A 12,711-nucleotide genomic window follows, 5' to 3' on the forward strand; every position below is an offset into this window, starting at 1 on the left:
TCAGCTAATGGCATAAATTTTACATTCTCCTGAATACATAAATTTGGTATAATCTAGTTCTACTGATATTTTCTTTTTTTTTTTAAAGAGTCTTTAACTTTTGTAGAACACATTATCTTTAGTCATAAGTAGCCTTTTTTTACTGATAAGAATGAGTGACAGTGGAATAAGTTAAGCCAAATCTAATGTGAAAGTGACCTTTTCTTGTAAGTAACTTTGAATTTTGAAACAGTAAAACCATGAAGACTACTACAGAGAAAAAAATTAATGTTTTTATGTTTATAATCTGCCAGTTTCCCAGAAAAAGGTTTGTGGTGACTTTAGTTCATACCCTGTACATTAAGATCACCAAACAATTAACACCAGATAATCTTTTATTTGGATGCTACTTTAAATTTTTGAAGGATATCACTTGACTTAATATCACTGAACTGTACACTTAAAAATGGCTAAGATATAAAACAATTTAACATAAAATATAAAACATTAGAAATTCTATAATTTTAGTAGCTAGTGGTATATAATTGGACATCATTGAATGAGAATAAAAAACAAAAATCTTTTTTCTTAGCATGATTAAAGAAATTGGAAATGTGACTGAAGTTTACAAGCTCACTGAGCTATTTTAAGAGTAACTTTATTTCTTGGGCTTTTTTTGTATTTGCCTCAGTAATTTGGAGACACAGAGGTAAGCCAAATCAGTGTCTGGCTTTATATTTAATAGTTAGGTGTCAGTGAGTATAGGGGTTATATAATTTATGTAAATTATGTCACATTCATATTGCAATTACGTGTGCAGACAGAAGATAGGAAACTTTATAATTTTTTTCATCTAACAAGATAAGTAAATTAGTTTGGTTTTAATTAAAATTTATATTTGCGGCCGGGCACGGTGGCTCACGCCTGTAATCCCAGCACTTTGGGAGGCCGAGGCGGGTGGATTGCCTGAGCTCAGGAGTTGGAGACCAGCCTGGGCAACACAGTAAAACCCTGTCTCTACTAAAATACAAAAAATTAGCCGGGCGTGGCGGCGTGCACCTGTAATCCAAGCTCCTCGAAAGGCTAAGGCAGAAGAATTGCTTGGACCTGGGAGGCGGAGGTTGCAGTGAGCTAAGATTGTGCCACTGCACTCCAGCCTGGGCGACAGAGCGAGACTCTTGTCTCCAAAGAAAAAAAAAATTTATATTTGCATTACTTTCTACACATACTACAAACAATACACAGTAACTTTTTTTTAGGATAATTAAAAACAGCACACAATGAACTGAGCTCCTATATATTTATAAGACGTGTATAAATTTGTCCAGAGAAATTGCACAGCACAATGTGGTAATTATCAATAAGTTACACCACGGGAAATATTTGTCCTGTATTACCAAATACATGTTCTTGTAGATGCTGTCCTAAAGCTGCTAAAGTAGATCTTACGTAGTAAAATAGATTGGAAGGATAAATATAACCGTTTTAATAAAGTTATATTATTTGTTCTCAGTGATATCAGAAACAATTATATATTTAAGTGTGAATTTTATTAATATTAATAGGTAGGTCTAGCTTTTACTACCAAATATTTCTTTAAAAAAACTTGACTCTTTAAACTGAAATGTAGGATAAGACTTTATACTTCGTTCTATTATCCAGTAGGTTTCATTTGTTTTCTTTGTGTTCTGTAAAAGCAAATGAACACTGAAGGTGGACAGACTTATAGGCGGCAACATTGGCTCACCTACTACCCAGCTACCTTCAGTCTTACAACTTGGATAGTTTTTACATGATAAAATTAATCCAGCTACCTTTAGTCTTACAACTTGAATACCTTTTACATGATAAAATTAATCTCAAATTGAAATTTTTTTCCAATTCAGAAGGTTCTGTTTGGTAGGAGTCATGGGTGTATCTATGTTCTGTCCTTGAGATTCAGGAATGCCAAAAATATTCTGAGATTTAATAACTTAAAATTTCTGCATAATGCATAATGAAATGTATCACGTATAATCTTTCATTCTTTGGGTTACATGTTTTATTTACCTTTGCGTGCTCTGCATGTCTCATATATTCAACTTATATTTTAGTTAAAGTGATAACTTGTTACTCTAGACAACTTATATTTTTATATATTTATTACTTATATTTAAGTATATTAAAAATATATTTATTCTTATATTTATTACTGGCCTGTGTAAAAAGGTATTTACAAATTGATCCTGATTTAATGGACTTGGTGTCATTGTCAGGTGCCCATTTGTATTCTTTTAAGAGTATGCACATGTGCCTATTCATCTGTAGACCTTTAGTGCATCTTGATTCTTTCTTTTTAACACTTCTCAAGTAGGATTGGCTACAAAGAAACCTGTAAGTAGTGGCAGAAAACACTCCCTTGGTAAAGAATATTATGCGCCCGCACCTCTTCCACCTGGTGTGTCTGGTTTCTTGCCGTGGCGTACTGCAGAACGTGCAAAAAGACACAGGTAGGGTATTTTTATTTCCTATCTTTTAGGATAAAAATGGGATTCAAAATTCTTTATTTTGGAGCTTCTATTATGTGAGAGTTCTCTGCTTATGTCTGTAGGGTAAAAATGACTCATGTGGCTTCTGCCTCATGAATCCTTTAAGGAAGAAAAACAAAAAATAATCCTAAGTAGGGTTTCAAGTTATTAAGTGTCACAGCAAGCTGTATCCCTGTGGGAGTCCAGAGGAAACTGAAATTATCTCCAATTGTGCAGGTGAGAAAAGGTTTCATTTAAAGTATGTGCAGTTAAACCAAGTCCTATAGGGCAGAAATAGGAATTTGGATATTTAAGACTGGGGAAAGGGCATTGTAAAGCATAGGAAATTGTTCAATGCAAAATGATAGGAAGTGTTGATTAGACTTAATCTAACTCAGCCAACTGGCCTAACTCATTTTAGTGAATCAAACCAGATATAACTAGTTTTAGCCAGTTACCTAGGTGATAGCTATTCATAGTAATTTTTGTCAGAAAAGTCTTTTAAAAATGTTGTACTATAATTTTATGCTTAATAAATGAATTAGATTACTATAAATTATTTTCGAATGACTGACTTTTAGTATTCAAGAAATTGGAGATTAACAATTGCTTAAGAAAACAAAGAGGATTGAATTTAAATAGGACTGGAAATAGGTGCTATGTAAAATATCTGTTCAATTGCTCAGATTAAATTGAATATGTATAATCTTTGTTAGGCAACTGATGACTATACTTATTTCACAACTGGTAATGTGAATTATTATTGCATAAACTATAGTGCTGAGGCCCCAGTCTTTACACTTCCATTTAATAACTTCACAGTTTCATATCTTCTTGAGATACTTACTAATTTCAAGTCCCATCTTGGTCACAAGGAGTTGTGAATTAGAGAACAATTAATATCACCAGTTAAAGAAGTTAGATTAGAAATCTGAACCATCCTAAACATAAGAAGTACCTGCATCTTCAGAGTCTTATCCCAAAGCCGTTCTGCTAAATTGTTCAATTTTCTCCATAGCAGAGCTTTCCAGGCCCTTATTTGGAAGTGATTTATCTCTATGCACAGTTATGTATGGATAGTATACATAATACTAGCAAGTGTTATTACCTAGTGTTAACTGGTGGTGTATTTACATCAAAATATAACTTAATTTATCGATATCTTTTTAGGGGTTTCCCATTAATCAAAACACGTGATATATGTAATCAGTTGCAGGTACGTAGTTACCATGTTTATAATATGTAGGGGATTGGAATGGGAAGGGTGGAAGATCATTCTCTGTGCTCTTTAAATTGAATAGAGTCGTAAGAAACATTTCCCTCCCTGAAGTAAATTCTTTAAAAATTTTCTGGGTTCTCCCGGTGCCACAGTATAGGCGTGTGGATATGTCACACAATGGAGGCCTTGTGGTTTCATCTGTGTAGACAGGAAGTCATTTCTCTGGGTCCACAAATCAGCTGTTGCCTCCAGCAAAACAAATTTGACCACCATTTCTCACCCGACACATGGAGCTATCATAGTCAAGAATGTCCTTAAGTTTAAAAGAAATGTTCTTGGGGGATACATATTTTATATGTATATATATATTTCCAGATTCTAAAGCTAAAACAAAGCAACCAGTCCTAAAGCCTCTGCTTTCTCAGAGCTTTTCTTTCTCCCTTGTCAGGATCAAACACATTCCCTGTCATTCTGCATCATGGTATTAGAGCAAGTGAATTCTGTCAGAGTATCAGATTTTCCTTTTCAGTTGTTTTTAGAGACCGTAATTTCTCTGTAAAAGATAGCACTACTGAGATGAAGGAGCACCTGTGTGTCCGTACTGCCCCTCGCATAGCCAAAAGTAGGGGCGTGCATCTCATTCTACCGTCTAGGATTTTCAGGTACTGCAGGATTTATGCTTGTAGTTGATACTGCATTCTCATGACTTCTCTTCTGTACAGTTATGTATCCCGGCACTTTTCTTTTTGATCTGTGGACTTTTTATGGGATTGTGACACAGTCAATTTTGAAATATTTGGAAACGTATTGGACAACATTCCAGTGGCATTGAAACTTGACAGGAGAATTGCGTTGTTATTACAGTAGTTTTGGCTTAAGAATGAGGAAAAGATGAGGTTTTTGATGTCTCAGTTTTAGTTGTGTGCATGTATTTGGTTAATTTTTTTTTTAATTCTAGTTTTTATTTTGTAGAGACAGGGTCTTGCTATGTTGCTCAGGCTGGTCTCGAACTTCTGACCTTAAGCAGTACTCCTGCCTTGGCCTCCCATAGTGCTGGGATTACAGGCCATTCTAGTGTTTATTATTCACAATTTAAATTATTCTTCCAATTCTTTGTGAGGCCTCCACGGATGAATTTTTTCTCCTAAAAATCGTCCTGTCTTTAAGACTCTGTGTGTGATGGTAGAGAATAAATTTCTCATCTGCAGTTGATCTGAGAAAAAATGTTTATCCTGCCTCCTTGCTTGGTTTATGTGAAAAAAGTGTAATAAAATAATATGGGTTATTTTCGGAAAGATTTTATGTAAAAAAGAAAAAAAAAATATGGGCGATTCCAGTATTAATTATAAACCTTATATGAGAGAATTATTTCAGTGACATAGCAAGAATAAGTTAGTGTCTTTTTACTTTGTTATTGATTGTGTTAGACTAAGGAGTAGTGATAGACATTTATAGAGAATGACTTAACACTTCAGAAAGATCACTTTGATTAGATGTCCTTTAGTATTTGGTATTCGGTTTATATTATTATACAATCTTGTCCTCTTTTTTTAAGCAACCAGGTTTTCCTGTGACTGTGACAGTAGAGAGTCCTTCATCCTCTGAAGTTGAAGAGGTTGATGATTCTTCAGAGAGTGTTCATGAAGTGCCTGAGAAAACTAGTATAGAACAAGAAGCATTACAGGTACAAAGCTATCACTTTAAAGATATGGAGAAGATCATTTCAAACTCTAGTTAGTTTTTGGTGAAAGCTTGATTATGAACTGGACAGCTTGCATGGGAATTCTGTTTTCGCCTTCCTTCTATCTCATATCCCTTGAATGGTTCTTTATCTTAGAACAAGGTAAAAGGGAGGACGTCTGCACTCTAAGAAATAAAAATTGAAACATGTCATCAGTAATATATTTTCCTTTCCTTAGAATCATAGAATATTAATTAGATTTAGGGAAGGCCTTAATAATCATAAGATAAACTCAAAGAAATTAAGCACTGAATGAATGTAACCAGCTGATTCAGGGCTCTTTGGGAGGCCTTATCTTTTTGTGTGTGCTAGGAAGTCCACAATTAATTTTTAAAAATTAATACAATTTTCTTTTATATGAAACTTACAAATATAGAAGTAATTATCCTTTTTTTATATACTTACATGTAGCTTATAAACAACAGGAATGTATGTCTCACAGTTCTGGAGGCAGGAGAGTCCAAGATCAAGGCTCAGGCAGATTTGGTGTCTGGCGAGGGCCTGCTTTCTGGTTCATAGATGGCTTTTCACCATGTCCTCACATGGTGGAAGGGCAGTTATCTTATTTTTATGTGACTATGGAAATCACTTTTTGATTTTCAAAAAATGAAGCCTGATTTTCATTTTTTAAATTAAAATTAGTGATATTTATATAGAGAAATTTTAAGATAATTACAAAAATGATAGAATATTAGAGGGAAAAATCTATAGATAATGTAGAATTGTCCCTATTATAAATGAGCACCTTTTGTTTGTAGCACCTAAGTGGTTTATTACTAAGTTCCAGAGGAAAAACAAAATCCTAGAATGTCTGATTCATGTTCATTATTGTTTTAAATGTGTTGTATTTATTTTCTTCACCAGGGGATTAGGAAATTTTATTCTAAAAGTGATTATAGCCATTGGGGAGACCAAGAAGGTTAGGAAATACAACTTGGGAATTTCTGATTCAAGATGCACTGAGAATTCTCTTAGCTCTTTTCTATTTTAAGAACTCCATAAAACGATATTATCAAAATTTCTAACATACGTAAGCCTACAATAATCAAGATAATTGAAGAGATTTCAACATATTTTTGAAATAGAGATGACAGATGGAAATGAGTATGAAACCGATGCAGTAGAACAGAGGAAAACCATCGCCTAGAATATACACAGGGGAAGCCTACAGCTCAGAGGGTATCTAATCTAACTCCAGAAACAGCTCCATACACAGATATGCATATAGGAAAAAGGAAGGGAGCTAGAAATGTGACTAACATGGAGGGAGCTCCTTGACAGTTTGTATATGGAAGAGTTGACTCCTAGCCTTACCTTCACTCTCCTGAAATGAGATCATTTGGCTTTGAAAAACAGTAAAGTAACTGGGGAGAACTAGGGTAGATAGTGTGGATTTTGCACCCTAGAAAAGGGTAGCTGAGAATATCCTGCCATACTGGCTACCCACTTCTTCATGCATAACAGAAGCTAGTCATCAGCTCCCAGTGATCCTCTGCTCCCTTATTTTTTTTTTTTTTTTTTTTTTTTTTGAGATGGAGTCTCGCTCTGTCGCCCAGGCTGGAATGCAGTGGCGGGATCTCGGCTCACTGCAAGCTCCGCCTTCCGGGTTCACGCCATTCTCCTGCCTCAGCCTCCCAAGTAGCCTTATTCTTAAATAGAAAATAACCATGGTTCACCTGAGAGTTGAGTAAAACTCACAACTTGACAGGGAAAATAAAAGATGAAAAATATGTCCTGATAGGACCAGAGCTGATTAAAAGAACAAAAATACTTTAAGAAAAAAACTCTACTTAACATCCTTAGGTTTGTTAAGCACAAGTACAAAAGAAAGATACAGTGCCTGTAAAAAAGAAATAGGGTGTTGTTTAAAAAGGAATAGCAGAAAGCAAGGGTGGTCTCTTGGAAATTATAATGGTTGAAATAAATTCAGTAGGAATTAAGGAAATTTCTCAGTAGATAGAACAGAAAGGCAGGAATGGAAAATACAACAGAAATCATATGCTAGTGAGGTTGCATCTAGGAGGTCTAACATGTTACTGTAAGAAATCTCAGAGGACAGAAAAAAATGGATGGAAGGAAATTACAAAAAAAAAAACTATAAGAAAGTTTACCTTAGATAGACACATGTAAGTAGACAGTCTTCACTGTAAAATTTCAAGATACTGAGGAAAGAAAGAAATCCCAAGAGAAAAATACCGGTCACTTAAAAACCATAAAAACCAGACTTTATTATACTTCTCATCAGCTACCATGGATCCTGGAATTAGAAAGATACCTCCAAAGTTTTAAAATAATTGACAACCTGGAGATTCCCATCCAGCCAAACTGTCAATCTAAGTGGGGGCTGAATAGGACATTTTGGACCTCCTGCGCTATACTTTTTCTTGTTATTTGAAAACATAGTCCCGCAAAATGAGGGTATAAACCAAGAAGGAAGATAATAGGATATCAGGGATCAGTGGTTTCAGTGTGGAGAGCAGCGGGTCTGGATTTGAGAGGCTTCCATTGGTTGTGTGACTGAGAGCTTAAAAAATCCTTGAAGCATGTTACTATGTATTAGGCACTGTTAGAATGAGGGAGGGGGAAAGAGAGAGGAGAAAAGAGGGAAGGAGGGAATCAAACTCCAGAGGAGAAAGTTCTGTTGGCATGAACATAAAACAAATTAAACTATGGCAGATTTTTGAGCTACCACTGATGTACAAAAGGGAAAAAAATCCACTTGAGCTTGTCCGCCCTTTTCAGTGGCACAGCAGTCGGTGACCACCTATCTAATTTGTTGTACAAACCAGAACACTTTTCAATAGTGTAAGCAGGTGCTGTTAACACTAACATCAAGACAAGGGTTGTAAACTGGAACAGTCCAGGGCAACTTAAGATAGGCGGTCACTCTATACAAGGGCTGTGGCACTGAAACTGTATAGAAGGCGGTGTAACCTGTATATACACAAGAGTTACAATATAACTCTGCAGTAGGCAGTATTAATTTAATCGTAGTAATGGAAATACTGCCGTGGTCTGTAGCTTTGATTATCAATTTGCATGTGATAGCAAAAATAACTAGCTTGTATCAGATTTAGCACGTATTGGACACTGTTCTAAGTGTTTTGCTTATATTAATTCATTTGATCCTCAGAATAACCTGTGGTAGGTGTTACTATTAGTCCTACTTTTCAGAAAAGAAGCTAAATTTAAGTAAGCCCAAGCTGTACTTAAATTTAGAGTTGGATCAGGGATTTGAGCTTAAGCTTTCTGCCTGTTCTCTTAAACACTGATCTATCTGTCTCTCAAAAAACAAACAGCTCTGCATATAGAACAGAATATAAATATTAACTTTAACAGTGTAAAAGCTAAGTTTGGAAGGTGGACACAGGTGGAAAGAAGGGACAAAAGTATACATGTCCCTATTTTACAAAGCAGGGCATTGAGAGAATTTAGAGTTGATAAACAATTTAAATTTTTAAGTAATGTATATCACTAGAAGTTGAAGAGATCATGACCAATGGAAAAACTAATGGTGATAACAACTTTATTGAGAGGAGTGGCTATAAGTAAGTAAATAAGTAAGAATGAACCAAACTCTTACTTAGTAAAGCAGGAAGTTAGTAAATAATGTCTAAAATCCGGTCATGTAGTTACCTAATACGTTATTTAGAACTAGAGAAGGATTAAAAAGAAGAATGGTTGACTTAAACCTCACACACAAAAAAATCCAAGTAGCCCATAAGTATGGAAAAGTGTTCAGCCATATAGGTAATCAGAGAAAAATGAACTGAAATCAGTATGAGATGCAACTACACTCCTATCAGATTGGCAAAAAATAAAATTTTATAGTGGCAGGTATTGTAGATCTGGAGTGTAATAAGAATCTTCCACCCTGCTTACACCGGAAGTATAAGTGAGCACACCTACTTTGGAAAGCGTTTAGCATTGTCTATCAATGGAAAGTATATAAATACGTTGGGACCCAACAAGTCATCTGAGGGTATATGCACCAGAAAAACAGGTGCAAAAGGGTCCACGTGCATTATTTGTAATAGTCCAACCTGAAAACAACCCGATGTCCATTAAGAATTAAAAATTAGATTGCATTTGTACACTGAGAAAACTATAAAAGTAATAAAATTGAATGAACAAGAGCTACAGGCAACAACAGATGAATTGTAAGAACAATGTTGAAAGAAAGAAGATGCAGAAGTGTGCATTCACTATGATTCCCTTTGCATAAAGTTAGAAGTAGGCAAAACTAGATTGTTAGGGATGCATGCATATAAAGGAAATGATCATTAGGAAAATGAGGACGGTGTTTAATTCTGGGAGAAGGAGAGGGGCTTGTGATGAGTAGAAGATATGGGGGATTTCAGAGATGCTAGCTAGTTGTACTTGCAAACTTGGGTATATGGTTACATGAGTATTCCCTGATAGTGTGTTTTATGCACTTTTCAGTATGTATAGCATATTTTGTGATTTAAAAAACCTGCTTAAAGAAATGGTTGCCTCTGGGAAGCTGGATGTGTGAGTGAGGAGGAGATTAACTTTCATTTTAAGCTCTTCTCTACTAATTCTGTTCGTATGTTTATTCATTTTGCGTTGATCATATTTTGTACACCAGGCACTCTTCTCAGTTTTATATGTGTGTTAATTTACTCCTTTCAAGAGCCCTATGATACATGAATTTATCTCCATTTTATAGATGAGGAAATTAAGACCTAGAGTTACTGAACTTGCCCAAGGTTATACAGCTGATGGGTAGGGCCAGAACTTTGCCTCAGAGAATCTGAATTTCCAAAAAATAACCTAAAAGAGAAATTTAAGTACTAATTAGTAAGCAAAGAAATGCACATTTAAGGAAGACAGTGCACATTTAAGGAAGACAGTAACCTTTTATCTATTAGAGAAAAACACACATTCTGTCTTTAACACACACATAAATCTTATATTGGCAGGGATTTTCTTTATTCAGCAATTATTTATTGGTTGTCTGCTTTGTGGTACACATAAATGCTGGGGATAAACACTTAATAAAATATACTTCCTTCTCTTGAATATCTTGCACTTTAAGTGGGAAGGTAAGTCAACAGAGTAGAGGTGATATATCCAAGTGATAGACTGTTTCATTGCCAGTAGCAGTATAAAATCTTAGAAATCTTTTGGAAAGCAATTTGGATGTAAGTATTGCAGAGCCTTAAAAATGTTTATTTGCTTTGACCTAAAATTCCTTTTTTATTTATTGCAAGAAAATTATTCTAAATATGGGAGAACAAAACCTTCATGCTTAAAAGTGGTTATTTTATCTTATAATGTTGAAAGTTGGAAACAGTCTTGTTAGCCATAAAGGAATGATTACATGAACCAGTAAGCTGGCTCAGTAGAATATTTTATTTAGCCCACTAAAAAAGTCAAAGTTGGCCAGGTGCGGTGGCTCACGCCTGTAATCCCAGCACTTTGGGAGGCCAAGGCAGGTGGATCATGAGTTCAGGAGATCGAGACCATCCTGGCTAACATGGTGAAACCCTGTCTCTACTAAAAATACAAAAAATTAGCTGTGCGTGGTGGCGGACACCTGTAGTCCCAGCTACTCAGGAGGCTGAAGCAGGAGAATGGTGTGAACCTGGGAGGTGGAGCTTGCAGTGAGCCGAGATCAGGCCACTGTACTCCAGCCTAGGCGACAGAGCGAGACTCCATCTCAAAAAAAAAAAAAAAAAAAGTCAGAGTTATGAGTTCTCTGATTCAGTGTTAAATGGAAGAATGTCTAACATAAAATTGGATATACAGTCTTCCCTCAGCATACTCGGGTTATTCCATGACCCCATCCTCCAGCATATACCCAAATCCATGCAGGCATGCTCAGGCCCCACAGTTGACCTGTGGAACCAGGGTATATAAAAAGTCAGTCCTCCTTATGAACTTTTGCGTTGGAGAATACTTGTTTTTGTTTGTTTGTTTGTTTTGAGATGGAGTCTCGCTCTGTTGCCAGGCTGGAGTGCAGTGGCGCAATCTCAGCTCACTGCAACCTCTGCCTCCCGGGTTCAAGTGATTCTCCTGCCTCCGCCTCCCGAGTAGCTGGGATTACAGGTGCGCACCACCACACCCAGCTAATTTTTATATTTTTAGTAGAGACGGGGTTTCACCATGTTGGCCTCAATTTCCTGACCTTGTGATCTGCCTGCCTCGGCCTCCCAAAGTGCTGGGATTACAGGCATGAGCCACCGTGCTCAGCCAGAATACTGTATTTTTGATCTGCATTTGGTTGAAAAAAATCTGCATATAATGGGCCTGCATACTTCAAGCCCTTGATATTCAAGGGTTGTTGTACAGGATAACATTTGATATTTCTGGGGTTGTGTTCCAGAAAAAATATAAACTTTTCCATGGGTAGAAGGGAGAAAGGGGAGCAGCTGTCAGGGAGGAAAATTACTACAACACTTTATCATTAGTCGTTTTTAAGTAGTGGAATGTTAAGTGATTTTACTTTCTAATTGTTTCATTTCATATTTCCTTATTTTCTTTAAGGAGCATGAATTACTCTTTAAAGGAGTAATGAGGAGGGAACTTTCATAAATATGTAACATTATGTTCTCACTTCCTCCACTAGAGGGAGAAACAATTTCATGTAATTGTGCTTTGATGTGATTTTTAGAACTAGTTAGGAATGGAGGATTTTATTCTTCTTTCTCCAATTGTGATAAGTTTTTTGCTTATTTCCATGTTTGGTTAGAAGTTCTTTGATAACAGTTCTAAATATTAAAACCATTATATAAATAATAAGTAGAGGAATTTTGCAATTTCTTTTTCCTTTTTCCCATAAAAACTTGGTTGGCTTTAACTGATAATGAAACATTAAAGAATTTGTAGTTATTAGGGCATTTACTGATTTTTCAAATGTGTTCTGAGTATAAAAATATATGCCCTTTGAGAAAATTTTTGAAAATCGTGAAAAACATTGAGGGAAATAAAAACCACCTCTGCATGGTACACACACCTGGATATTTTGTAATTTGCCCTTTTATCTTAAAAAGATATCAAAATATTTTGTCACATCATTGAATGCTCTTCCACATCAGAGAATCTTACTTAGCTTATGGACCATCTCCCAAGAAAAACGACCATTCATTAACTCTGGTTAAGACCCATATCATTGTTTTTAGTGGCTCCATAGAGCATTTCATCATAGGGATGTGCTATTTTTTTTTTTTTTTTTACCAATCACAATTTGGAGGCTTTTAGTTGTAAACAGTCCTGTGACATTATGTTGGTAGATAAATCTT

General features: G+C 35.6%; 1 protein-coding gene across 9 annotated transcripts in view; it reads left to right on the forward strand.

Moving 5' to 3' along the window:
• The window catches only part of CEP78 (centrosomal protein 78), a 43,616-nt gene that overhangs the window by 13,501 nt on the left and 17,404 nt on the right, over window positions 1–12,711 (forward strand). For 4 of the 9 annotated variants that reach the window (NM_001349839.2, NM_001349840.2, NM_001098802.3 and 1 more), the window contains exons 9-11: window positions 2,330–2,468; window positions 3,657–3,702; window positions 5,261–5,389. In NM_001349839.2, the coding sequence (NP_001336768.1) occupies window positions 2,330–2,468; window positions 3,657–3,702; window positions 5,261–5,389 (314 nt within the window). Of the gene's footprint in view, window positions 1–670; window positions 931–2,329; window positions 2,469–3,656; window positions 3,703–5,260; window positions 5,390–12,711 lie in introns of those variants that run through there. The other 5 variants (NM_001330691.3, NM_001330693.3, NM_001349838.2 and 2 more) reach the window with 2 other exon arrangements.

Source organism: Homo sapiens, chromosome 9 (genome assembly GCF_000001405.40).
Source record: "Homo sapiens chromosome 9, GRCh38.p14 Primary Assembly".
NCBI lineage: Eukaryota > Metazoa > Chordata > Mammalia > Primates > Hominidae > Homo > Homo sapiens.